Source organism: Homo sapiens, chromosome 1, assembly GCF_000001405.40.
Source record: "Homo sapiens chromosome 1, GRCh38.p14 Primary Assembly".
NCBI lineage: Eukaryota > Metazoa > Chordata > Mammalia > Primates > Hominidae > Homo > Homo sapiens.
Window position 1 is genome coordinate 226877697 of NC_000001.11, and position 27742 is coordinate 226905438.

Sequence of the window (27742 nt, forward strand, 5' to 3'; positions counted from 1 at the left end):
GAGGCCTTGGAGGAATTTTTGAAAGTGGAATGAGGGAAGCAGCCTGCTCAAGGGAACACTTGTTTTCTGGTGAGGAGGCCGCATGTATGAATGACGTTTGTGGGTTAGAAAGCATGTTTTGTAGTTTTTCCTTGTTTCTTCCTGAAGACATGTCAGGTCTTGATGAGACCGGGCCTGGGCACAGGGCAGGCAGTCAGCGAGTGTGGATGATGACGACAGTGGTCACCAGGTCACTGTCTAGACCAGGTCACTGTCTAGCGCAGTGTCACATGGAAAGGGTATGGTCCTTTAACCCTACCCTCCCCAGCACAACTATCACAGATGTCAGGGAACCTCTGCTCACAGAACTGCTTTCCAGGGATTGTCTTTTTTTTCTTTTTCTTTTTCTTTCTTTTTTTTTTGAGACAGAGTCTCACTCTGTCGCCCAGGCTGAAGTGCAGTGGTGCGATCTCAGCTCACTGCAGCCTCCGCCTCCTGGGTTCAAGTGATTATCTTGCTACAGCCTTCTGAGTAGCTGGGATTACAGGTGCCTGCCACCATGTCCAGCTAATTTTTGTATTTTTATTAGAGACGGGGTTTCCCCATGTTGGCTAGGCTGGTCTTGAACTCCTGACCTCAGGTGATCTGCCCACCTCAGACAGGCATGAGCACCGCACCCAGCCCCAGGGAGCGTCTTATTAGTGGTTGGCAACTGAATGGAGACGTGGGAATTGTAAGGAACTGATTCTACTTGATCCTGGGTCCCCTGCTTCTCCATCTTCACCCACCCATCAGCTCCCTTTCTCCTTTAAACAGGCACCTTTGCTCTCTGCTTATCCATTTTTGTTGTGCATTGCTATTTGGGAGCCTAAGAAACACAACATCCTCTGAATGCTCCAGCTGTTGTGGGTCTGAAGGGTGAGCCTGCCCTCTGTCATTGGAGGCTGCAGCCTGTGGCTTTTTAGGTACAGGGACTCCCAGAACTGCTCCTCCAGTCATAGCAGAGATAAATCACAGGAGCTTAAGAGGCATGGGAAGAACAGAGGGAGGAGATCGTAGCTTCCCTGTTCATTCACACCCAAAACAAAACTGTCATACTAGAAAAGGAGGTATTAAAAGAGCCACCTGTACAGCCTCGTATCTCATCCAGCACACTGCTGCAGATGGAATATTATGATTTAGCTTGAGAAAATGCAGCAACTCTTTGTTGTGGTGCCCCTCTTTGAGTAAGAGTGAATTCCCCATTGCCAGAGTGGATAGTGAGGGAAACCCTGGGTCCAGGCAGGAGTCTGTTTAGGATTTATCTAGTGAGGCTGAGCCAGAGGAGGACCTTACAGTTTTTTCTCTTCAATTTCTTTTATTTATTTATTTATTTTTGTAGAGATGGGGTTTTGCCATGTTACCCAGGCTGGTCTTGAACTCCTGGGCTCAAGCGATCTGTCTGCCTCAGCCTCCCAAACTGTTGGGATTACAGGCGTGAGCCGAGCCACCATACCCGGCCCTTCTCCTGCATTTCCACCTGATAATTTCTCTCATTTCCATAGATGATGAAGGAACTAAAGCCAAGAACTTTCCAAGGTCCTGCAGCTCTTTGGGGGATGTGAAGCTGTGCTCTATTTGTATGGATTTTGCTGGTTCCCAGAACTTCCCTGTGGCCCTGGGGCCTAGTCTGAGGGTACTCTGAGTGAAGAGGGAGGAGGGCCCACACCTCTTCTGCAAAGGCTGCTTTTGTAAAGTTCACTTCAGTTCACATCTTCCTCCTGGTCAGAAAGCTTCGGGGGCTCTCCTCTGCTGCATTAAGCTCTTACTCCTCCATCAGGCACCAAACTCCTCCCTGGCATGGCCCATCCTACCAGGTCCCCACACTTGAGCCACATCCAATTGCTCGATATTATCAGGATAGGTTATGTTATGTTCCCAACTCATATGTTTACTTAAGTGGTTACCTCTTTCCAGAATGAGCCCCCTCCTCCAAACTCTGCCTGGTGAAATATTCCTAACCTTTGCAGCTTCACATCCCTCTTACTTCTTGTGACCTGAGGCATCTACTCCTGACAACTGATAGACTGTGTCCCCTCCTGTCGGGTGCATTGTCCTTGTCACTACCCTCCTGGCTTTTAGCTGGCTTTGCTTCCCGCTGTTGTTACTCCTGTACTTGTCTCATCTATCCTAAACAGAAGGTGCTGCAGGCTGGGGAGTTTGTTCATGTTGAAATCCCTGTGATGGAGGTGAGCAGAGGCAGTCTCTGCCTGTGCCTCTTATTTGGGGATGAAGTTAAAGTCCCTGTAGGAATAATCCAGGCCATAGCCGGGGTTGCTGTCTTCAGAAAGAAGGGCAGCCACAGGTCTTGTTAAGGGGATTGAAATTGGCTGACTTGGTGGAAGGAACCTGCCTGCTTTGTTTAAAAACCACATATAGCTGAGTGTAGTGGTTCACACTCTGTAATACCAGTGCTTTGGGAGGCTGAGGCAGGAGGATCACTTGAGGCCAGGAGTTTGAGACTAGCTTGGGCAACAACGTGAGACCCTCATTTCTACAAAATATTTTAAAAATTAGCCTAGTATGGTGGCGTGCATCTGCAGCCCTAGCTACTGAGGAGGCTGAAGTGGGAGAATTGCTTGAACCCAGGAGTTCAAGGCTGCAGTGAGCTATGATTGCACCACTGTACTCCAACGTAAGTGACCAGTGAGACCCTGTCTCTAGAAATAAAAATAAAAAAAATCACATATATTGTGGGGTGACTTACTTGGAGACGAACTTTCAGCAGAGCGCACACCTGCTATCCCTGCCCAGGGTGTGAAGCTCAGCCCTGAGGGTCTCTGGACAGCGATCACTCAGCCTCTGGACAGCGATCACTCAGCCTCTGGACAGACAGCGATCACTCAGCCTCTGGACAGCGATCACTCAGCCTCTGGACAGCGATCACTCAGCCTCTGGACAGCGATAACTCAGCCTCTGTCCCCGTCTGAGATGTTGGCAGGGACTGTCAGATTTGCCAGGCATTGTTTGAAGTTCTTCCCAGCCCAGAAACCTGCATGTGTAGATTTTGGTACACTGGGTCCCCCACTTGGTACTACTGTGTGAAACCCCACTTGGCACTGTTTTAGGGGGCAGGCTTCCCTCCTGTCCCCTTGGCCTTGGCCTTCCCCTGGGTCCCGCCCTCAGTGGCACTTCCCCACCTCACACGTCTGCTCTCATGGCTTAGGTCTCCACTTCTAACCTCAGGAGACCTGGTCCTCAGACACCTCCCAGACAGCTTCCCCATTTTATCCCATAGACACTCAAAGGGTGAAATTCATGGTCTTTCCCGAGACTCTCTTCTCCGGTCTTCCCTGTCTTAGTCCCCACCTGGCTGCCATTCTAGACTGTGTTTTCTCTCCTGCGTCAGGTCCTGCCCTTGACCTCTTGACCCCTTCTGGACTCTGCCCTCACTTGCATCCATCCTGCTGCTGTCCTCAGCTCTCCTCACCTGCCACAGTTGTCTCTGGGGGTCACTTTCCCTCTCTGGTCAGTGGCCAGACTGACTTTTATAAACCTGGTTCAGATCTTGTCTGTCAAGATTGTCCTCAGGGTGATGTGTGTCTCCTTAACATGGTGCCTGAGACCCTGATCATCTCCACTGCCCGCCCCACAGTGTGAGGCCCTCACTGGAACATTGTGCCTTCTGCCCTTCCCTCCTCCTGGGAAAACCAGTCTCCATCAGATAGGCTCTTCTCTAGAAAACATTCGTGATCTCTGAGATTTGGTTCCACTTTTGTGCTTCTGCACCTACCATCAAACACCCGGATTGTATCATTTGTCACATTAGATGATTTTTGTTTTGTTTTAAGACAAGGGTGTTTCTTACTCATCTTTTTATCCCCAGAGCCCAGCATGATCTTTGGTGCATAATAGATGCACCACAGATGTTTGCTGATTGAATGAATGAGCACACTGACAGTTTGGAGCTGCCCTGACTTTCGTGGCTATGCGTTTTGCCCCCTGGGATGTGAGTCACCTCAGGCCAGCCCCAGGCAAGGCCGCTGCTGCCTCCATGGTAACTCTCAAGGCCTCTTGTTTTATGGCAGTCGTTTGATTGACAGGCATCTCTTGGAAGCTTTTGGGGCAGGACTTGTGTCCAAGTCTCCAGGTCGCCTCCAGCCACCCCCTGAGTCCTCCACTGCCTTTGTCTCACAGGAAAGTGGAACAAGGTCCTTGTGCTCCTTTTTCCAGGTGCTTCCAGAGGCAGGGCTATGCTCACATTCATGGCCTCTGACAGCGAGGAAGAAGTGTGTGATGAGCGGACGTCCCTAATGTCGGCTGAGAGCCCCACGCCGCGCTCCTGCCAGGAGGGCAGGCAGGGCCCAGAGGATGGAGAGAACACTGCCCAGTGGGTAGGTCCCACCAGCAGCTGGGGGCCTTCAAACAGGTCCCTGCGGCTACTGTACCTTACAGATGAAAACCAGACATTCATTCCCTGATGCGGGAGGGAGAAGGGAAGTAATGATGAGGATTGGCCGAAAAGGTGGGTGGCTGGCCATGATGGACCTTCCATCTGCAGGGTTTCATAGGACTGCGCATTCACAGCCAGAGATGGACTTGGCAGTGGGCTGAAGGACGCTGTCCACTCTGCCACCTTGGGTTTACCTCTCTCATGCAGGTCACTGTTTCCACTGTAATAGGAGAGTTTGTTTGGATGCCTGGGTGCTAGGACAGGTAACACAGAAGCTTAGGATGGTAGCAGGGGAAGCATTTTTTGGCAGATGGCCAGACATGGTAAGTGTGAGAGGAGTCTGCCTGATACACGATTGACTTTTGAGCTGGGGATATTTGGGCTTCACTGTGATCATTCAGCCCCCAGGGGAGGAGATTGTAACGTTAGAAAGAGTAGGATATCGTTGGGAGAGCCACTTAGTTGTGTCCTTTCTCTCCCGATCAGGGCAGAACATCTGAATTTGCCTGAACCCTGTTCTCTGTTTTGCCCATTATAGAATTAAAAAATGTCTCTGTGTGGACTGTTTTCTTGCAGCCAGTCTTAATCCTGCTTGCTGAAATTTGAGCTCACTTCTCCATGTTCTCCTTGAGAACGGAACCATCGTCCCTAAGCCCTGAGTGAAATCACACCAGCTTAAGGCCACTGCTCTGCCACTCCTCAGCCTTTTCTTGTTTGTTATCTCCGGGAAGTTTTGTACACTTTGGTTGTTTCAGTTTCTGTTCATGAGTAGTCTTCTTTCTTGGCTGAACGTCTAGATTGGGACTCTCTCTGCAGAGAACCGGTACTGAAGCAACTGTCATTTTCAGTTTTTGTTTCATTTGGCTTTTTCTTTAGCTGTTCACCTCATTAGCAAGGCAGCCCATGACCTTGACTTGCCACAGTTCCAAAACACAAATTCTTACAGATCGGTTTGTGCTAGTGTCTGGCAGGTGTCCTGCCCTCCCTCGTTACCTCCTCATTTGTGCCTGCCCACCTTCCCAGAGCCTGCGTCTTCTCAGATGCTTAACACCTGTTTAGCCTCTCTAGTTCAGAGCTACAAATTTACATGCTTGATTCTGTGGGGCAGAAAGTTCAAAGTAATTTCTTCCTCTGCAAATTCCCAGTATCTTAGTCACACGCAAAGAGAGTGTCCCTGTGCACTGACTCCTCTAGCTAGTGATTTGTCAGCCAAAAATGTTTATTTATCTCCTGGCCTGTTTCCTCCCATATCAGTATGGCCACATGAACAGAATTGAGTGACCTCCTGAGTCCCTGTATTAGGAAGGGGAAAGATCTTTTGATTCATTAACCATTAAGTTGATTCATTAACCATTAAGTCTTGGGCCTGCAGACCATAGCAACCTTCCTTCCTTCATTTATGGTGCTTCATCCAGCTCCAAATCTTCTCTACTTTGTCCTCACAAACTTTTCATATGCCCTAGTAGCTCATAGACTGCTCCTTATATCTGGAAAGCAACATTCAAACTTCTCATTTCTGGTTCCAAAAATCCGTGCATTACATGGATAGGCTGCCGTGGGGGACATTCTGCGGCCCTCACGATGTGGTTTCCCACAGAGAAGCCAGGAGAACGAGGAGGACGGTGAGGAGGACCCTGACCGCTATGTCTGTAGTGGGGTTCCCGGGCGGCCGCCAGGCCTGGAGGAAGAGCTGACCCTCAAATACGGAGCGAAGCACGTGATCATGCTGTTTGTGCCTGTCACTCTGTGCATGATCGTGGTGGTAGCCACCATCAAGTCTGTGCGCTTCTACACAGAGAAGAATGGACAGCTGTGAGTTGGGGGGCTGGGGGGAGCAGGGTGGGGTGAGGGCTGAGTTGCCAGGGGGTGGGGGGCGCAGCAGCCTGTGTTGGTCACTGTACCTGCAGCTCCACACCAGCAGCGGTAAAGAGCAGGGATGAAGAACCGCCCAGGTTCATGGCCTGGCTCACTGCCTCCTGGATTGTGACCTACTTGGGCATGCTTTTAACATCCCTATGCCTCAGCTTCCTTGTTCGTATAATGGGTTGATAACGCAGTTACTGGGAGAATTAAGTGAGTTAATATGAGTGAAGGGCTTAGAAGAGTGTCTACTGCACGTGAGTGCTCAGGCAAGCTGGATCCTGCTGCAGAAAGCAAGCTCTTGATCCTGGGCATGGCTGTGCCACTGATCCCTGTGTGACTGCAAACAAATCACTTCCTCTCTGAGTCTCTGCTTCCCTGAATGTGAAACAAGGTGGTTGGACCAGATATTTCTCAGCTCACTTCCAGCCTTGTGAGGAAGACTTATAAAGCCTTTCGTTTATTTTAGTAAAATACATGCAGAGGCAGCAGCGTAGAAAAATGAGAAGCTTCCTCCACTTCTTCCCCCTCCCCTTTCTGTGGTCCTCACTGCTAAGCACCTTCTGTAAACTTTTTTTTTTTTTTTTAAAGTTAGGGATTTTTGTTTCATTTCGTGTGTGTTGGTTTTTTTTGTTGTTGTTGTTTCTTTTAAAGAAAGGAATAAGGCCAGGTGTGGTGTCTCATGCCTGTAATCCCAGCACTTTGGGAGACTGAGGTGAGAGGATTATTTGAGCCCAGGAGTTTGAGACCAGCCTGGGAAATGTGGCGAGACCCTGTCTGTACAAAAAATGCAAAAATTAGCCAGGTGTGGTGGTACATGCCTGTAGTCTCAGCTACTTGGGAGACTGAGGTGGAAGAACACCTGAGCCCAGAAGTCGAGGCTGCAGTGAGCCATGATTGCGCCACTGCACTGCAGCCTCAGCAACAGAGTGAGACCCTGTCTCAAAATTTTTTTAAAAAATTAAAAAAGAAGTAGAGTCCCATCCTCAGAAAGCTTATAGTGTGTGGGGGATTCAGCGCAGAACAGGTGAAAGCATGGAGAGAATGCAGCCAGCGGTTTGTTTGCAGCAGTCCAGGCTGGGAAGAGTGAGGTTTGAGTGAATTGCTTCCTGTGTCTGCTTCCTGAGCTTATGAGCTGCAAGGACAGCAGTTGCTTCAGCGGATGGGGGTCGGGTAGTAGCAGGTGGAGGAGTGCTGGGCTGGGTGGAGCTGGTGGAGAGGTGTGGGTGGGTGGGGGAATGAGAACTGGATGGGTGAGAGAAGTGCCTAGGGAGCCTTTAATCCCTGTGGGGGTGGGGAAAGCAGCAGGGAGGTCATCTAGCCCTCGTCCTCACTGCTGCACTGGGCCCAGTTGGCAGGCTGAGAGCCACAGGTCTGTGGTCAGGGTGCCAGGAAATGAGCTGGAGGACAGGAACTGCTCATGGGGATGGTGCCCGCACTCCATCAGGGCAGCATGTGGGCAGCATGGGCATCCCAGGCACCTCCCCTAGCAGGTCCAGAATCACTCAAGGTGGGGAGCCTCGAGGAGCAGTCAGGGCCGGGAGCATCAGCCCTTTGCCTTCTCCCTCAGCATCTACACGCCATTCACTGAGGACACACCCTCGGTGGGCCAGCGCCTCCTCAACTCCGTGCTGAACACCCTCATCATGATCAGCGTCATCGTGGTTATGACCATCTTCTTGGTGGTGCTCTACAAGTACCGCTGCTACAAGGTGAGGCCCTGGCCCTGCCCTCCAGCCACGCTTCTCTCCGTCTGCCCCACACCATGGCGGCAGGGCCCGTGAAACAGCCGCCTTTAGAAAAACACAAATTAGAGGAAAATAGACCCAGATTTTTTGTACTCCTCCCCACCCCATCCTGTCTCCCACCGTGGATGACCTAATACTGTTGTCTTTTATTTTTATTTATTTTCTTTTTCTTGAAACATGGTCTCACTCCATTGCCCAGGCTGGAGTGCAGTGGTGCGATCATGACTCACTGCAGCCTCAACCTCCTGGGCTCAAGTTCTCCCACCCAGCCCCTCAAGTAGCTAGGACTACAGGTTTGCACCACCATACCTGGCTAATTAAAAAATTTTTTTTTGTGCAGGCTAGATCTCACAGTGTTGCCCAGGCTGGTCTCAAACTCCTGGACTCAAGTGATCTCCCACCTTGGCCTCCCAAAGTTCTGGGATTACATGTGTGAGCCATTGCATCCAGCCTGTTGTCTTTTAAATTTACACATTATCCCACTTGAGTTCCTCATTGCAGTGTTCCAAGCATCATTTCTCATATTTCAAAGTTAATTTTGTTTTGCTTCTCTTTCTGAAGTTCTATTTTAGGCTCCCCTCACCCCGATACTTCCCCTGAAGATTTATTTTTAGTTTTCCTTTTCCTTTTCGGGCAAGGATGTGCAGAGGCCATGCTGAGGTCTTGCAGCCCTGGGAGACTTTTGGGTTGTAGCTGCCTATAGCTGCCGAGTAGCCCCAGGGAGTAGTGGAAGGGCAGATCCCATCTGGCCAGAATCATGGGCACTGCCTGTCCCCAAAGATGCCATAAGCTTTTAGACAGCGGCTTCAGGCTTTTCTCCCAGGTAAGGGGTTGAACCCCTAACGATGGAAAGGAAATTAAGCTGGGCATTACCTATTTTAAAACTGTTTACACACAGGTGCCTCACAGCATTTTTTGTTCAGGCCGCTGCCATCCATGGAGCAGGTAGATAGAAGTGCAGAGTGCCCAGGCTAGAGGGATGGGACAGGGACAGTGCAGGGAGGGAGCTGAGCCCCCTTCCAGCGGGGGCAGCAGAGGGGAAAGCCATGGGAGGGGCTGCAGGATGTGTCCTGAGCTGAAGCTTATCAACAAGTAATGAGTACCAGCTGGGCATTGTGGTGCACGCCTGTGGTCCCAACTACTTGGGAGACTGAGGCAGGAGGATCGCCTGACCCCAGGAGTTCAAGTCTAGCCTGGGCAATGTAAGACCCTGTCTCTAAAAAAATAATAATAAAATAAGTAACAATTACCTGTGTAACTGTGACGAGGCAGGGTTTGAACATTGCCGCTGGGAGGTTGGCAGATGGTGGGAAGCAGGGTGGAGGGCTGCTGGTTTGGAGCAGAGGATACAGATTGCATGGGGTCAAGCTAGAAATTGCGTGGCAGATGTGAAGAGCTGGCCCCACTGCGGGCAGTAGGTGTCTGGTGGCCAGTCCCAGAGGCTGTGAAGAGGGGCTCAGCCATCTGTCTAGTAGGGCTTCCTTGGAGGTTCCACGATACAGGCAGATGGTGGTGGCCCGGGCAGCCAGGTGGTGGCTGGGATGAAGAGGGTTGGCAGGTCCCAGAGGCAGCCCCTTCCCCTTTTGGCTGTGTGTGCAGCAGGGCCGTGGAGGCTGCTTTTAGTCCAGGTAGACCAGGGCCACGCTGAGGTCCCAGTGGGCTGAGCTGGTGACTGATGAGTTGGTCCTCAGGGGTGAGGCTGGTGGGAAGTGATGTCACTGTCCCGCCGATGGCCAGCTAAGGGACTGGGTTAGGATCAGCCCCCTCTTGTCCTTCACTCTCCCATCCTTGGCCAGGAGAAGAGGAACAGGTCTTTCTGAGGACCTGCTTGTAGACCTTTGGGTAGGAGGGGACTTCCCAGGTTCTCTGTTGAGGCCACTCTATCTAAAATAGCACCCCAGTGAGTCTCCTATCACTGTATCCTAACATTATTTTCTCCATGGCCCTCATCATTACCTGCTGATATACTGTATGTTTGTCTATATGTCATCTAACACCCCTCACACTGGAACACAATGCCCGTGGGCAGAGACTTTGCTAGCCTTGGTTCCAGAGCCTAGAACAGTGCCTGGCAAGTAGGAGACACCCAGCATTACCTTTCTAAGTGAACCAGTAGAGATGGGGGGAGACCGCAAGGCTATGCCGGCAGACCTGAGGGAGTCCTGTCTGCATGCGCTGCAGGATGACCTGAGGGGAACTCCTTGGACTTCTGTGCCCTCTTTATCTGTAAGGTGGCCACCTGATCCCTTCCAGCGTAGGCATGAAGTAGCCTAATGAAGAGCATTCAGGCTTGGGTATCAGTCTCAGGATCCTGGGGGCCTTAGAATTTGTGGCGCTTGGGGACACCTTGTGATCGTGCAATTTCTGTTGTCTAGTTCATCCATGGCTGGTTGATCATGTCTTCACTGATGCTGCTGTTCCTCTTCACCTATATCTACCTTGGGTAAGTGACAGATAAGCAGCAGGGTCCCTGGGAGCCCCTCTCCATGTGGCACAAGTGGACATGGGCATGAGGACCTGGGCGGGGAAAGATGACCATCGAGCTCCAGTCTTCCCCAGTGCCAGCCGTTTTGGGAACCCAGGCCTCCGTCGCCCTCTCTCATGGCCTTGACACAGGGGAGTGGAAGTGGGGCTGCATGGTGGACCACATGTTTCTGTCTCGTTCCTGATTTAAAATGAACCCTTCATGGAGAAGGCTCTCTGTGAACCCCAGGGGGATAGAAACCCCCCAAAATTTACATTCTGATTTTTAGGCTAGGCCTGGGTACTTTCTGGTTTGTGGGAAAAATTATCTGTTCTATCGCCCCTTGATTTGGGATATCAGCCTGACCCAGGGGCCCAAAGAGACTGGGAGGACAAGAGAAAACACTTTCCCAAGGACCTTTCCATGTGCACAGGGTCTTCCAGGTCATGCCCATGCACATTTCTGTGATCTGTTCCAAGCATCCCCACCTTGTTTTAGAAAATGCTGCAAATGGTAAATTGTAAGGACAGTGAAGGTCGGGGAAGGAAATGTTAGTAAAGAGGGCCAGGTTGGGACTGAATGGTGGTAAACTGCTAGGCTGTAATGCCTCCACTGAGTCCCAGTCACAGGCTCCACCTTGGTCCTGCAGGGAAGTGCTCAAGACCTACAATGTGGCCATGGACTACCCCACCCTCTTGCTGACTGTCTGGAACTTCGGGGCAGTGGGCATGGTGTGCATCCACTGGAAGGGCCCTCTGGTGCTGCAGCAGGCCTACCTCATCATGATCAGTGCGCTCATGGCCCTAGTGTTCATCAAGTACCTCCCAGAGTGGTCCGCGTGGGTCATCCTGGGCGCCATCTCTGTGTATGGTAGGTGGGCAGCAAGGCTGGTGGGGGCAGTGGGGGCGATGTCCAGGGCCAAATCGTCCCCAGTGCTGCACAAGGAGGGCAGGTGCTGAAGGGCTTGCATCCCTTTCTGCAGAGGCCTGGGTGGGATCCCTCCTGAGAGAGTCGCCTTTGTAAAACAGAGGGGGGTCCACTATTTCTGGAACACTCCTGGTGGTCTAGATAAAACGCAGTAGTCACTGAGCTCCTCATTTACTTTTTTTTTTTTTGAGATGGAGTCTTGCTCTGTCGCCCAGGCTGGAGTGTAGTGGCGCCATCTTGGCTGACTGCAACCTCCGCCTCCCGGGTTCAAGTGATTCTCCTGCCTCAGCCTCCTGAGTAGATAGGATTATAGGCATGTGCCACCACGCTGGGCTAATTTTTGTATTTTTAGTAGAGATGGGGTTTCACCATGTTGGCCAGGCTGATCTCGAACTCCTGACCTTGTGATCGGCCCGCCTCAGCCTCCCAAAGTACTGGGATTACAGGCATGAGCCACTACACCCAGCCTCATTTTCCATTATTACTGCTATGCTGATTGAGCAAGTGCACTGTTAAGCACTGGACACGCTGTAAGTGATTTGTTCATCAAGACAGTCCTTTGGGTACCATGCATATACATAACCCCAAATGTTAGCTGCTATTTGATATTAGCATGATTATCATTGCCAGTATTGTTACTTCCATTTTAAGGTTAAAGAATTGGAGGCTCAGAGAAGTGGGACTCCCCAGCCTGGCCACCGCGTCTCGGGTGCACAGCTCCTCCATGCTTGCAGTTGCCTGCGAGGCCCTACTCTGGCTCACACCAGGGCCTGCTCTAAGTTGTGACTGGAGAATGAGAATTTGGGATGCCAGCCCAGAGGCAAGGCATGCTCTGAGAGCTCCACCCGGGGCTCCTGTGCTACAGGGCAGGCTCTTCTTCAGGGGGCTGCCCGGGGATAGTTTGACAAGGATGTCTCTGTCTTCCTAGATCTCGTGGCTGTGCTGTGTCCCAAAGGGCCTCTGAGAATGCTGGTAGAAACTGCCCAGGAGAGAAATGAGCCCATATTCCCTGCCCTGATATACTCATGTGAGTGAGCCCCCCGTGCCTCTGCCTGACTCGGGGTCAGCAGGCAGCCTGTGGGGGGACAGGGGCCTGCTTCCTGGCCGTGGCTTTCAGAGTTGACTGGGCGATCCCAGGAGGGTCTCCACTTTCAGAAGCCAGGGAGGGCAGTATCTTGTTATTACACAGTAAGAAGCTTAGAAAGTTAGGACAGGAAGCAGGCATCTGCTGGGATGTGCTGCAGTCCCTGACTTCATCCCGTCCATCCTCCAGCGGCATGCTGCGGTGCAGGTTGCATTCCTGTGATCCCGCAGCCACCCCTCAGCTCTCCAGGCTCTTGAGAAGGGACTTTGGAGAGGGATTCTTCAGGGCAGGGGGTCGGGGAGCAAGGAGCTTCTGGGCTTCCTTGACAGCAGCGTGGCTGATTGGCATTAATCCTAACTGAAGGGAAGGCACACGGGATGGCCCCTGGCCTCGGGGTCAATGTGTAGAGATTTGGACTTACACATGCAGTCAACAAAGGCACATCAAGTCCCCATTTTGTGACAGGCACTGTGCTAGGCATTGGGGGACCCAGCAGGAAAGAAGACCACAGGGTCCCAGGCCTCATGGAGCTCACGGCCCTGTGATTGTGATGCCCTCGGTCTGTTGATGGCGGGGCTTAAATAGCCTGAATTTCTGGAGCTCTGGCGTCTGCAAGGTGGCCTGGGAAAGAGTTTATGGAACAGCTACAGAGTTCTAGGTACCTTCATGCAGTTGAGGATTCGAGCCCGTAGAGGAGAATCGCCTGCAGCGTGGCCCCACGGGAAAGCACATTCCAGGCGCATTCCGAGGATGAGCGGAGACCATGTATGGAAAGGTAGTGCCAGGACTGTCATGAGTGTCCCAGGGCTCGGGGGATTCACCCGTGAACTGTGAGGTCTTGGCTCTGATAGACCTGGTTCTTATGCTTTAGGAGGGGAGACAAACAGTAACAGAATAGACAAATGCAAGAGAGAGTGACTCTGGACCCCTCCCACAACGGCCTCCTAACAATGGAGCATGAGCAGATACCTGCAGGATGGAGGGTCCTGTGCAGGCTTTCTGGGACGCAGACTGGCCACCTCCCCCAGGCCCTGCAGGCAGCCACTGTTAGCACCGCCTGAGATGTGAACCTTTTCTCCTCCCCCAGCTGCCATGGTGTGGACGGTTGGCATGGCGAAGCTGGACCCCTCCTCTCAGGGTGCCCTCCAGCTCCCCTACGACCCGGAGATGGGTGAGTATCTTGGGGAGCTAACAGCCTCTCATCACTGGGGGGCAGCTCCCTACCTGCACCCAGCTCTGCTCGGCCTGGCTTCCCTGAGAGGCATGAGTTCAGGAGGGGCAGAGGGAAAGGTCCGTTGAAAACCAGCCGGACACATGCGGCTTGAAGATTCAGCAAGTGTTGGACCCTCGGTCCTCTGCCAGCCTCTGTTGCATCGTTCTGCTGGGCGTGGGTGGGTGGAGTGGGGGAAGCCCTGGTGTCAGGTGCTGGTGCTCAGGGGGACCCCTTCTTGGAGCTTTGTTCCCTGGTAACACTCTGACCAGCTGTTGTTTCTCTCTCTTGTTGTCCCCTCCTCACGGTGATGACGGACATCTTCTCTTCCTGGACACCCAGAAGAAGACTCCTATGACAGTTTTGGGGAGCCTTCATACCCCGAAGTCTTTGAGCCTCCCTTGACTGGCTACCCAGGGGAGGAGCTGGAGGAAGAGGAGGAAAGTAAGGTGCCCATGTTCACACGGCCTGCTTCAGCCTACGGCGGGAGCGGAGACAGAGGGTGGAGGCTCCCTGCAGCCTGGGTGGAGGAGGGCATGAGGGGAGGGGCCCCTTTTCCCATCAGAGGCATCTCTGTGAAAGTAGAAGATGCCTGCAGCGCTGGGGTCTTCTCAGCAGGCCCCATGTAGTTGTCCGGCATGTATTGAGTATGGGCCACGTGCCCGTGCTGTGCTGGGTGAGGCCCAGCCCTGGTGGGACCCACAGGCTAAGGAGACACGGGCAGTAATCACATAGACTGAGAAGCCAAGGACTATGAAGGGGGCCATGGGGTTGGGGAGGGGCGGCAGGAGAGCATGCCACGGGGCTTCTTGACCTGGTTGGCAGGGGTGAGAGAAAGTCAGCTGAGGAAGTAACTGCTGAGCTGAGCTCTGAAGGTTGAGTCACAGCAGTCACTAGAGGAGAGGAGCACAGGGTGGGGAGCATTTCCTGACAGACAGACTCAGGAATCAGAGGAAGCCGGGGCGGGATGCAGAGAGCAGAAGTGTGGGAGAGCCTTGCAAACAGGCCTGGAGACATGCGAAGATAGGAGTTCATCCTGGCGTCAGTACACGGTGCCTGCCTAACACCCAATGCCAGCCCACTGCTGCGTGCCAGGCAGCACCCTGGAGCAGGGAGATGCTGCACTGTCGTAACAGCCCCTGCCTTGAGAGGTGCCTTACGGGAGCAGCCTGGTGACAGTGGCTTGGCATACAGGACTCCAGTGACACGGGAGGGGCAAGCTAGGGAAAGATCACTCTGCGGTGGGTCTGGAAGGAGGAGCAGGTGCGCACCCTCCAGGCAGGCTTGGGGGAGGTATTTATTCCAAGGCCAACTGGTGTGCTGCAGACCAGGAGTTAGCACAGATCCCACGGGGCCCGCAGGACTGGCCTCCCTCCAGACACCAGCCACAAGCTCTAGAGGGTCTAGATGCCACTTGTGCTTCTGACCGGCTGCAAATTTAGGGCTCCCATGACCCCCTTAGGTTCAATAACTTGCTAGAATGACTCACAGAACTCAGGAAAGCACTACACTTAAAATTGCAGTTTGTTTTTTGTTGTCGTTTTGTTTTGGAGACAGGGTCTCGCTCTGTTGCCCAGGCTGGAGTGCAGTAGCACGATTGTGGCTCACTGCAACCTTGACTTCCTGGGCTCAAGTGATCCTCCCACCTTGGCCTCCTGAGTAGCTGGGATTACAGGCACGTGCTACCACACCTGGCTCATTTATATTTTTAGTAGAGACAAGGTTTTGACTTGTTGCCCGGGCTGGTTTCGAACTCCTGGGCTCAAGTGATCCACCTGCCTTGGCCTTCCAAAGTACTGGGATTATAGGTCTGAGCCACAGCACCCGGCCAAAATTAGTTTTATTATAAGAGATGCAACTCAGGACCAGCCAAATGAAGAGACAGTGAAGAAGTAATGCTGATGGATCACACCTGGTGGGGGAAGGAGGACAGCTGGGGCCAGGAGCAGGAGGGACACCTGCAGGGCTGGAAGGGCAGGGGAGGTGGGCCTCCATGGTTTGTGTTTATTGCATAACCATTTTTATTGTCTACAGTGAGCAAAGTTATCCTATAAACAAGTGTCAGGGACCATTGCACTAAAGAAAACAAACGAGAGCATTTTGGAAGCTCTAATTTCCTGATCAGTAATGGGTAGACTAATTCCCAGTTATATTTACCTGTTGTAAGGTGAAAGGTTCTTCAGAGGACCTCTGTCTTGGTGTTATATGGGCTTTTGAATGTACTGAAATTAAATTCCCTAAAAATCTGTGATTCAGACTTCATACTAAATTGTACAGCAGTGCCCAGCCCAAGGCCTTGCATTTCTATTTGTTGTTTTCTTTACTCTCTAAGTGCCCAACACTGGTTTTACCTGAGTTTCAGAACTGCCCGCTTTTCTCTGCCCAGGTTGTAAGTCACCCAGTCCACAGGTGTCCCCTGCTTTCCCACTGGCCACTGATTTGGGGAGGCAGCTGTCCATGTCCCCAGTCCACATCTTAGCTTCTAGAGGCCAGGTGGGGTGGGCTGGGCTGGGCAAGAGCAGCTGGGCCTTCTGGGCCAGAGTTTCTCTTCTTTTTCCATTCTGTGCACGCCTCTTCAGTACGGGTTACTGTCTCTCCTCACACAGGGGGCGTGAAGCTTGGCCTCGGGGACTTCATCTTCTACAGTGTGCTGGTGGGCAAGGCGGCTGCCACGGGCAGCGGGGACTGGAATACCACGCTGGCCTGCTTCGTGGCCATCCTCATTGTGAGTGGCTGGGGATGCGTCCAGCTGCCTCGTGGTGGGGGCCCCCAGGGTCCTCATTGTGGTGGGGGCAGGTCTCAGGATCCCTAGGGATTTTTCATTTCTTCTCTTCCCTCTGAGGGACAAGAGCAGGGAGCGGGGCTGGAAGGGTCAGCTTGAGACCAAGGCTCACAGGAGGTGTGCTCGCCCCTAGGTGGGCTCCAGCCTGTGGAGGACAGTGCAGGGGAGGGTGAGGAGTGTACCGGCCCCAGCGTGGCTGAGCACACAGCCTCCAGGCCGAGGACCCAGCTGACAGCTTTGCGCAGTGATGATACCCTCGAGGTGGTTGTGATGACATCAGATTTGCAGAAAAGAAAATTGCTTAAGGGCCTTGCCCATGGGCGCAAAGCTAGTGAGGACCATGTTTTCCCCCTCCTCCATGCCATTGGGACACCACAGGGTCTGAATCTGGGGCACTAGGGGTGGCCCCGTTACTGTGAACCACAGCAGTGAAATGTGGAGGCCCTGTAGTCAGTTAACGTGACCAGATACACATAATGGGGAGACGTCCTGCCGTGACTTCATCTCAGAGATTTCGCTGTCACGTTAGAGGAGGAGGAGCGTCTGAGCCGTGCGCTTGGCATCTGCCCCTTAGTGAAAACCCTGGGCATGGCATGATTAAGGTTGATGCTCCAGTGTCCAGAAGGTTTTCTTTTTGCCCACAAGTATATCAGGGATGGGATGGTGGACCCAGGCTCCTCCACCACCAGACTGCCTTACCTGAGCCCTGCTGGCCCCAAAGATATAGAAGGCACCCTGGTTCCCTGTGCTCACCTGGACCACTGCCTGCATCAGCTGGGTCAGGGGAGGATGGGCAGCCCCCACACCTGCTTCCCAGGGGCAGGTTGCCTGGCGGCTCTGATTCCCTTGGTGCCAGCTGCTGAGAACCTTACTGCCATTTCAGTTGAGCCCACCTAGCTCTCATATAAATACATGTTCCCTGAGGGCATCTTACCATCCCATGTGACCACTCCAGCCAGACAGGGGAGGCAGCACGGCCTCGGGGCACAGCACTGCTCCAGGAGTCAGGAGGCCTGCCTTCTGGTTCACTCACTAACAGGTGAGGTGATCTAATGGGGGTGAGAACTTCTGCCCTTAACACCTCAAGAGCTGTTGCAGGACCAGGGAAGATAATGGGGTGTCTAGCGCCGTTATCCGACTGGTCCTCGAACAAGCTCCTGTGCCCAGGGACTAGACCATGACTCACAGCTCCTGTCCACACCAGGGATCACCACGCTCACCCTCCCCTCCATGTCCTGCAGGGCTTGTGTCTGACCCTCCTGCTGCTTGCTGTGTTCAAGAAGGCGCTGCCCGCCCTCCCCATCTCCATCACGTTCGGGCTCATCTTTTACTTCTCCACGGACAACCTGGTGCGGCCGTTCATGGACACCCTGGCCTCCCATCAGCTCTACATCTGAGGGACATGGTGTGCCACAGGCTGCAAGCTGCAGGGAATTTTCATTGGATGCAGTTGTATAGTTTTACACTCTAGTGCCATATATTTTTAAGACTTTTCTTTCCTTAAAAAATAAAGTACGTGTTTACTTGGTGAGGAGGAGGCAGAACCAGCTCTTTGGTGCCAGCTGTTTCATCACCAGACTTTGGCTCCCGCTTTGGGGAGCGCCTCGCTTCACGGACAGGAAGCACAGCAGGTTTATCCAGATGAACTGAGAAGGTCAGATTAGGGCGGGGAGAAGAGCATCCGGCATGAGGGCTGAGATGCGCAAAGAGTGTGCTCGGGAGTGGCCCCTGGCACCTGGGTGCTCTGGCTGGAGAGGAAAAGCCAGTTCCCTACGAGGAGTGTTCCCAATGCTTTGTCCATGATGTCCTTGTTATTTTATTGCCTTTAGAAACTGAGTCCTGTTCTTGTTACGGCAGTCACACTGCTGGGAAGTGGCTTAATAGTAATATCAATAAATAGATGAGTCCTGTTAGAATCTTGGAGTTTGGTCCGTTGTAAATGTTGACCCCTCTCCCTGCATCTTGGGCACCCCTGGGATAACTTGTGCTGTGAGCCCAGGATGGAGGCAGTTTGCCCTGTTTGAAGGAACTTTTAATGATCTCGCCTCTCTGCACACATTTCTTTAACTAGAAAGTTTCCTAAGCAAAGGAGTTAGGAGAGCAGGGTGGCCTGACATCTGCCAGCCCTGAGCTGTAAGGCTGTGGATGCTGAGCAGGTCCCTGGACTCAGTTGTGCACGGTGGCACAGACACTGCCAGGTGGTTGCCAAAACATCCAGTGGTTCCTTCAGCAAGTGTTCACCCTCTGCAGAAGCCTGTGAGGGCCTGAGCTCAGAAACCACTCTCCTTTCCTTCTCTGGCTTTGGCCCTGGGCACTGTGGTGGGAGAGTGGACAGTTTGGCTTTGCCTTCTCTGTACATCAATCATGGGTTGCAAAGAGAATCTCAGAAGTGCCTCTTCCTGAGCACAGTGGCTCACACCTGTAATCCCAATACTTCGGGAGGTCGAGTCGGAAGGATCACTTGAGCCCAGGAGTTTGAGACCAGCCGGGGCAACATAGTGAGACTTTGTACAAAAAAAAATTTAAAAATTAGCCAAGCATGGTGGCATGCATCTGTAGTCTCAGCTACTCTGGAGGCTGAGGTGGGAGGATCACTTAAGCCCAGGAGGCTGAGGCTGCAATGAGCCGAGATCAAGCAGGTGTTAGGTATATCAGACAGCTGAGAAGACGCAAGTGTGCCCTGGGGTTCAAACTGGTACCCCTGTCTCCCTGTTCCAGGAATAACATGAGTGCCGGGACAATGCATCTTTATTATGAGAGGAATGAGAATTGTGTATCTTGACATTTGACAGGAGCTTGCTTTCCCCCAGGCTGTTTGAGGAAGGGCAGAGGAAAATGTGGTGCCCTAAGAAGGAAGGACAGAGGAGGCCGAACACTGGCGGGTGGAATCCCACTGATTAGTAGTGCAGGTCAGAGACCTGGGATGGGGGGCATTGCCGTCATGGAAGCCACAGCGGGGAGCGGGTAAAGCAGACAGGGATGGTCCCTGATGGTGACAACTCGCAAGAGGTTAAGGGGAAAGAAAAACTGAAAAGCTTATTCAATTTGGCAATTATGGCAGTGTTTATCTTCAGAAGAGCAGTTTTAGGGTGGGGTTTCCAAAGATGGGATTGGACATATATTTTGAATCATTAAGCTTGAGGTCTTTCAAAGGCCTGGCCAAGGGTTGCTGGGTGGAGACCACATTCAGAGGTAAAGGCAGAAATTGGGGGCCCTTAAGTAGACAGCGAGGGAGGAAGAAATGAAGGGGCCTGGTGATGGTTAGGGTGAAGTGTTAAGACTGAGAAAACAAGGACATGTGAGAAGACGAGGGAAGAGCATTGGAGAGAACAAAGACACTGGAGGAGATGCTACTTGGAGGTCCCCAGAGAGCAGGGAGACAAATGAACCCAGAACACAAATGGCAAAGAAGAAAAATGAGAGAATTTGTAAAAGACAGCATTCGAACATGCCGAACAAGAGCAGGGTACTGGTGTTCAAACACCTGTATCTCCCCCGTGTAACCCGTCAACTAATATCTTTCCATATTTGCTCCAGATTTGTCTTTAGAAATAAAACCCACGTTCTGAAGTCCTGTTTGTATGTGGCCCCAGTCCTGTTGCCTCCGCCTCCTGTCCTGAAGTCGATTTCTGCCCTTCTCATCTATGGTTAGTTTTGTTTTGTATGTTGGCATGTTTTCTTAACTTTACAGAAATGGTATCATACTGTACATATTTGATAATTTTTTAAAATATTGCATTCTGGAGGCATGTATAAATGTAGCTCCAGTTCATTTATTTTATTTATTTTTTGAGATGGAGTTTTGCTCTTGTCACCCAGGCTAGAGTGCAATGGCGTGATGTTGGCTCACTGCAACCTCTGCCTCCTGGGTTCAAGCAATTCTCCTGTCTCAATTTCCTGAGTAGCTGGGATTACAGTTGCCCGCCACCATGCCTGGCTAATTTTGTATTTTAGTAGAGACGGGGTTTCACCACGTTAGCCAGGCTGGTCTCAAACTCCTGACTGCAGGTGATCCACGCACCTTGGCCTCCAAAAGTGCTGGGATTACAGGCGTGAGCCACCGTGCCCAGCCCAGTTATTTTAACTATTGTATAGTGTTCCATTGTATGAGTTCTACTGTTTATATGCTATTGATCGACCTGTAGGGGTTTTGCAGTGTTTCTGTATTACAGCTGTGCTGCAGTGAGCATCCCATCACATTGTGTGGATTTGAGGAAGTATTGGAATTCCCCCAATTGACTGGACATTCCCAATTACCCTCCAAGTATGTGTCTGTTTATCCTTCCATCCGCAATCTGAGAGTTCCCCAACTCTATAATACTTGGTGTCATCAGACTTTTCATCTTGTCTGATTGGATGGGTGTCATTTCCTTTAGGTTTTATAATTATCTTTTCATATGTGTATTGGCTGTACAAGGTTCCTTCTCTGTTCATTATTATTAATTTTTTTAGACAGAGTCTCGCGCTGTCGCCCAGGCTGGAGTGCAGCAGCGTGATCTTGGCTCACTGCAAGCTCCGCCTCCCGGGTTCATGCCATTCTCCTGCCTCAGCCTCCTGAGTAGCTGGGATTACAGGTGCCTGCCATCACGCCCGGCTAGTTTTTTTGTATTTTGAGTAGAGATGGGGTTTCACCGTGTTAGCCAGGAGGGTCTCGATCTCCTGACCTCGTGATCCACCCGCCTCGGCCTCCCAAAGTGCTGGGATTACAGGTGTGAGTCACTGCGCCCAGCCCAAGTTTCCTTCTCTGTTACTTGTTCATATCCTCTGCCCATTTTTCACTTGGATTTTTTGTCTTACGGATATTTAAGCCTCTTAAAATATATATTCTGGAGAGATGCTAATCTTTGATTAATTATATGCATTGCAAATGTCTGGTACATTGTGGCTTGCCTCTCTTCCCTGCCTTTAGGAGTGTTTTGCTGGACCCAAGTAATTTTTAAATGTTAATGTTATTAAATCTATCAGTTTTTTGCTTGTATGGCTTATGCCATTGAATCTTGTTTTAAGAGATCCTTCCCTACCCTCAAGGTTTTCTAAATTTTTATTTTCATAATAAGATTTTTAGTTCATCTGAAATGTATTTTTATGATTGTATTTAGTAGGGACCTAATTTTGTTTTTCTTTGTAACCAGGTGTCCCAGCACTGTTTACTGAACAGTCTCTCCTTTCTCGCTGGTCTGTAGAACTCTCCTGACATATACCAAGTTTCCATAAGTGGGTGGATGGGTTCCTGAGCTCTCTACTGTTAATAGAACTTGCTCTCTCGCAGGCCAATGCCTCACCAGGTGATTGAAGCAGAGAAACTTAGGTGGTGAAAGGAGAAGATGGGGCCTGTCCTGAGAGTTTCTGTTCCTGAGATGCTAGAGGCAGAGGGTATGTAAATCTGAAGTTACACTGGATCTCCTAAAACAGTATAAAGCTACAGAAGTATAATAGTGTGGAATGGTGGTGGGAGTCAGTAAGGGTTAGGTCACTGCAGTGGTTTAAACAAGATGGGCTAGAATCCTTTCACAGGCACAGGCAGCTTGGAGAGGGTGCAATAGTGCATGGTATCAGGGGTCAGATGCCTCTTTTTCCTTTGAGATCAGTAAGTGGCTTTCACCTCATGACCTAGGCTGGCTGCTGTGTGCTAGCCGTCAAGTCACACTCCATCCAGCATGAAAGGAGGTTAGAAAAGGGTGCATTTCCTCTTCTTAAAAACATGTCTCAAAGTTGCACACAGCACTTTTGCCTATATTCAATTGGCCATTAGTCCCACGGCCATACCTGTCTGAGACTGAGAGACTGGGAAATGTCTTTATTTCAAGTGGCCATATATCCACCTAAACAAGATAAGGGATACGTGGTTATGGCGTGTCTTTTGGTTTACCAATGCAGATAATGAAGTTACCAAAACAATGAGAAAATGGGGTCGTGAGGGATCATGTGAATCACAAGCTGATGTCTTCAAAGACGGTGGAAATGGGCCCCGGGAGGCAGCAGATGACAGCAGTGGGGATTAAGGTAGACCTCCATCCTGGGGTTAAAATGAGGGGAAGGTGATGGAGCTGGACCAGCAGTCAGAATGGTCAGTGGTTAGGAGACCCTCTGCCCCCCACCGCTGCCACCATTGGCTCTCTACAGAATGCCTGCGAGTGGCTTAGAGTGACCAAGGATGAGGTGCAGATCCATGTGCACCCCCCTGCCCCCTCTGTGGACAATTTTCATGCCTGACAGCACAGTCTATGTGGATTGCAAGCCGATGAAACTATGCAAAGTAGAAGCATGCCTGCAGTTTGTGATTCGGTGATGTGTTTTATGCTTATGTGAGTCGAATGGGGCGGCAGGGTCCTGTGGTCACCCGCTGAGAAGGAAGGGTCCTGTAACCACTGCCTTTCTTTCAGCTACTTGAGAAAGGTGTTGTGAGGGACCGTGGATTTTGGGACAGCTTTGAATGGTGGTAGGGAGGAAGGGTCCGGTCTGAGTGAATGGCCAGAAAGCTGTGGGGAAGCTTTTAGGACATTGGCCAAGAGCTCCCTGAAGGCAGCCAGGGAGATACTTGTCAGTACATGTGACTAATGGCCAACTGAATATAAGCAGAAGTGCTGTGTTGCTGTGTGCAACACTGGACACCTTAGGAAGGACCTCGAGACAGTGGTTGTGGACTCTGTAGAGAGTAACAGTGACAGTAGCAAACCCTTACCCAGTGCCAACCTTGTGCTAGGCTCGCACTAAATGAGTTTACCTTCAATTCTCGTAACAATAGGAGGTAACTACTATTCTAATTTCCATTTTATAGATGAGGAAACTAAGGCACAGAGATCACTGACTTGCCCAAAATCAAGCAGGGAGTAGTTAGTATATAAGCCCACGGTATGTGGTTTGTAGAATAGGTGCTCTTGACTAGCAGAAATAGGTCCTCCCTGCAGTGTGTAATTGATAACAAGCATGGGCTGCCATCTTCCTGTCGAGGCCACTCAAAACACCCAACAGGCTACGCACGGTGGCTCACACCTGTAATCCCAGCACTGTGGGAGGCCGAGGTGGGCGGGTCACCTGAGGTCAGGAGTTCGAGACCAGCCTGGCCGACATGGTGAAACTCCGTCTCTACTAACAGTACAAAAATTAGCTGGGCGTGGTGGCGGGCACCTGTAATCCCAGCTACTCAGGAGGCTGAGACAGAAGAATCACTTGAACCAGGGAGGCAGAGGTTGCAGTGAGACAAGATCACGCCATTGCACTCCAGCCTGTGTGACAAAAGCGAAACTGTCTCAAAAAAAAAAAAAAAAAAAGTATGATTTTATAATCCCAGCACCTTGGGAGGCTGAGTCGTGAGAATCACTTGAGCCCAGGAGTTTAAGACCAATCTAGGCAACATGGCAAGACCCCATCTCTGCCAAAAATAAAAAATAGTCTAATTTTAGCTATTCATGTGTGTGTGAAGTGGTGTCTCTTCGTGGCTTTGATCTGCATTTCCCTAATGCTGACTAATGACGTTGGGCACCTGTTCATGTGCTTACTGGTCAGATATCTTTCTTTTGTTACATTTTATTAAGTTTTAAAATTTAAAGTCAAAGATTTCCCTATGAGAATGACTTTTAAAATGACCAAAAAGGGGAAGATAACATTAATTCTTGAAGAGAAGGCCTCTGAGAAAAATACAGTTGTAGCAAGCTGCTACTTTGCAAATGACCCATGCATTTTAATTTTCCCCTAAGGAAGGCCAAGGAAGAGTCTTATCACCTCAGGGCAGGAGATGTAGGGACTTGGGTCATTTAATAAGAGTGGTAGGTTTGAAAACTCAAACCCAGAAGACTCCTTAGAGTTTCTCCCAGGAGGTAGGGAAGGGGCCGCATCCATGGAGAGAGGAGGATGTGACTTAGAGCAGTGGTCCCCAATCTTTAGGGACCAGGGACTGGTGTCATGGTAGACAGTTTTTCCACAGATAGGGGTTGGGGGGATGATTTGGAGCTGAAACTGCTCCACCTCAGGTCATCAGGCATTAGATTCTCATGTGGAGTGTGCCACTTAGATCCTTGGCGTGCACAGTTCACAATGGGGTTCGAGGTCCTATGAGAATCCGATGCCACTGATTTGACAGGAGGCGGAGCTCAGGTGGTAATGCTCATCTCCACCGCTTACCACCTGCTGTGCAGCCTGGTTCCTAATAGGCTATAGACTGGTACTGGTCCATGGCCTGGGGGTTGGGGACCCCTGATTTAGAGGAAGTAAGGGCATGGCTTACCGTGGGCCCTGGGGTGTTCTGGGAATGGGGAGGATGGAGAGAAGAGAGGAGGTAGGGAAGACCTCCCCTTGCTCCCCATTTGGGATTTGGGGAGAAAGTCAGGTCTCAGGCTCAACAGTACCTGATCCTGTACCATCTTCCAAAGGGAAGTCAGTGGGGTTGGAAGGTAGGCAGGGGTTATCTTCTCTGAGCCACGGCACAAGACAGAAGTTTCCCACCATTCCTGAGGGGGCAGGTGGTAGGTCCCCAAGCAGAGAGCCAGCAGTCCCTCTCTGAGGCCTGCAATGGAATGGGGTGGGGTGTCCACTGAGCCAAGGGTCTGTCAGTGAGAGCTGGGGAGGCTGGGCTGGCTTGCAAGCACCTGTTATAACCAAACCAGGAAATCAGGTTCCGAGTCTTGCCAGCAAGGGCCTACAGCTGCCAGCAGAGATGGACAGCCAGGAGACCCCAATTGGCCACCCAGAGCCACCCTCCTCTGCCTACCCCACCCTCCAGTACTCCAGAGCCTACTCGGAGGGGAACAGAAACCTGAGAGGCTGAACACACACACATGGAGAAACAAACGTAGTAAAATATTTGGGGAATCAGGAAGAATTATTTGTACTATTCCTGCAACCTTTCTATAGGCTTGAAATTATCAAAATAAATTTTTAAAAATTGTAATAACATTCTCATACTAAAACACTGAGTTTTTTTCTTTCATTTTTTGATTTTTTCTTTTTGACTCCAGCATGACTTACTCTAACAATGGGTGGTCTCGATTTTGAAATACTTTCTTCTCCAAGCCTTTCATGACACCCTGTCTCTGTTGGTTCTGAAAATGTTGGATTTTGTCTCAGCCCTTGCTTCTGGAAACAGCCAAGGTTAAGAAAACCCCCCATGCTTTGTGTTCTAGCAGACAGCTTCCTGCAAAGAGCCATCTTCCCAGAGCACTTAGGCCTCTTAGATGTCTCCCTTGTTTAATTATGACAAGAGCACACACACAGACCCTCCAAATTCCCATTCTTAGTCTTCTAAATGATTAGCTGAGCTGCTTTTCCCCACTGATTAATCGGAATAAAATGCTCATTAACCAAACTTCCCTCCTTTCCCCAGGTCCCTAAACTTTCCTGAGTCGGCAGACATCCCCTCTGGAGAAGAGGTTGGCCCCAGAGTCGAACATCCTCTGATCTACCTGATCCTGCTGCCCTTCCATTCCACTTCCCCACATCTGTTCTTTCTGGTCGTGTTTACTCCCCTATTAAAAAAACAAAACCAGAAAACGTGTTTGCCTAGATCTTGAGACTCTGGAAGATCTTAACAGTCAGAGGTTCCCCCTATTTGCAATGATCTCCTTTCCTGCCCCTTCCTATCCTTGCAATAATCCTTTTGAATAAAGTCTCTCCTTACTAAATCCAGTTCCTAAAAATTAATTTTTTTAGAGACAGTGTCTCGCTTTGTCACCCAGGCTGGAATGCAGTGGCATGATCATAGCTCACTGCAACCTCGAATTCCTGGGCTCAAGCAATCCTCCTGCCTCAACTGAGGCTACATGCATGCACCATCATGCCTTGCTAATTTTTTTTAATTTTTGTCGAGACAGGGTCTTGCTATATTGCCCAGGCTGGTCTGGAACTCCTGGCCTTAAGTGATTGTCCAGCCTCAACCTCCCAAAGCGCTGGGATTCAAGCATGAACCACCGCACCCAGCTCCAATTTTATTTTGTTTGGCAGTTTCCTCCTACTCTTCTTCCCTCCTCCTGCTCATTCCTTGGCCATTTTCCAGCTGCTGCTCTGCTTTTACCCTAGATGCACATTTTCAGGGCTCAGTTCTCATTCCTCTTCTCTGCTTGCTCCTCCTCTCTTCCCAGTGTGATCCTATCCATTCACGTGGCTTTCACAAGCGAGTTGCCTTCCCCAGTATCCCTCCTAGCAGATCCTGCTGTGCTCAGGGTGTCCTCCTGCATATTTAGCACTGCTCACCTCCCAGGGTCCTGGGCACTTAGGAGTGGCCATGTGACTCAGCTCTGCCAAAGTCTAGTGCTTGGGTCTTCCAGAAAAGCTATTGTTCTCCTGGTTTTAAAGGCGGGGAGGGGCGCCTCAGCCATAATCTGCCATTTTTTCCTTGCATGGGACACAGATGTGATGCTTTGAGATGTCACAGCTGCTTAGCGACCACCAGGATGAAAGCCGCAGGCAAAGCGTGTATGACAGAGAAGGAAACCACAAGTAGCTGCCCCAGCCACCCCTGGACTTCTTTTCTGTTTGTTTGTTTGTTTGTTTTGAAATGGAGTCTCACTCTGTCACCCAGGCTGGAGTGTAGTGGTGCCATCTTGGCTCACTGCAACCTCTGCCTCCTGGGTTCAAGCGATTATCCTGCCTCAGCCTCCCGAGTAGCTGGGACTACAGGCACAAGCCATCATGCCCTGCTAATTTTTGTATTTTTAGAGAGATGGGGTTTCACCATGTTGGCCAGGCTGGTCTGGAACTCCTGACCTCAAGTGATTCACCCACCTAGGTCTCCTAAAAGTGCTGGGATTACAGGCTTGAGCCACCGTGCCTGGCCTGGTCTTCTTTTATGTTATTAATAGAAACCCCTATCTGGTTAAACTATTATAGTTGGGTTTCTAGTACGTGCAGCCACATGCAAGCCTGACCTACCTTTCAGTCAGACATCTCTGCTCACTTGGTATCTCTTCCACTTAGGTGTCTCAAAACACTGTTCTTCTCTCCCACCAACACCCCAAATCTGCTCCTCCAGTGTTTAACACCCCCAAAAAGCTTGTCTAAGTAGTTTCTCCAGAATTCTTCTTAGAAAGGGAGCTACTGCTGGGCGCAGTGGCTCACGCCTGTAATCCCAGCACTTTGGGAGGCCAAGGTGGATGGATCACCTGAGGTCAGGAGTTCGAGACCAGCCTGGTCAACATGGTGAAACCCTGTCTCTACTAAAAATACAAAAATTAGCCGGGCATGGTGGCACATGCCTGTAATCCCAGCTACTAGGGAGGCTGAGGCAGGAGAATCGCTTGAACCCGGGAGGTGGAGGTTGCAGTG

General features: G+C 50.9%; 1 protein-coding gene across 11 annotated transcripts in view, besides 3 other annotated features; it reads left to right on the top strand.

Annotated features, from left to right (window-relative positions):
* The window catches only part of PSEN2 (presenilin 2), a 33053-nt gene extending 7081 nt beyond the window's left edge, over positions 1-25972 (top strand). For 3 of the 11 annotated variants that reach the window (XM_017001835.2, NM_000447.3, NM_001437537.1), the window contains 10 exons: positions 4192-4352; positions 6009-6223; positions 7842-7983; positions 10395-10462; positions 11133-11353; positions 12339-12437; positions 13582-13665; positions 14047-14148; positions 16311-16429; positions 17728-18402. In XM_017001835.2, coding sequence (XP_016857324.1) covers positions 4212-4352; positions 6009-6223; positions 7842-7983; positions 10395-10462; positions 11133-11353; positions 12339-12437; positions 13582-13665; positions 14047-14148; positions 16311-16429; positions 17728-17883 — 1347 coding nt within the window. In that variant the 5' untranslated portion in view covers positions 4192-4211 and the 3' untranslated portion in view covers positions 17884-18402. The other 8 variants (XM_047425601.1, XM_047425597.1, NM_012486.3 and 5 more) reach the window with 6 other exon arrangements.
* Positions 4458-4658: a silencer, noted in NCBI's record as "peak736 fragment used in MPRA reporter construct". NCBI's record gives its function as "represses an SCP1 promoter by STARR-seq MPRAs in K562 erythroleukemia cells {active_cell/tissue: K562}" and the evidence as "EXISTENCE:reporter gene assay evidence [ECO:0000049][PMID:32103011]".
* Positions 5178-5337: an enhancer, noted in NCBI's record as "active region_2673". NCBI's record gives its function as "activates an Ori minimal core promoter by ATAC-STARR-seq in GM12878 lymphoblastoid cells {active_cell/tissue: GM12878}" and the evidence as "EXISTENCE:reporter gene assay evidence [ECO:0000049][PMID:35858748]".
* Positions 18198-18429: a silencer, noted in NCBI's record as "fragment chr1:227083595-227083826 (GRCh37/hg19 assembly coordinates)". NCBI's record gives its function as "represses an EF-1alpha promoter that drives an FKBP-Casp9 reporter gene in an ReSE screen in K562 erythroleukemia cells {active_cell/tissue: K562}" and the evidence as "EXISTENCE:reporter gene assay evidence [ECO:0000049][PMID:32094911]".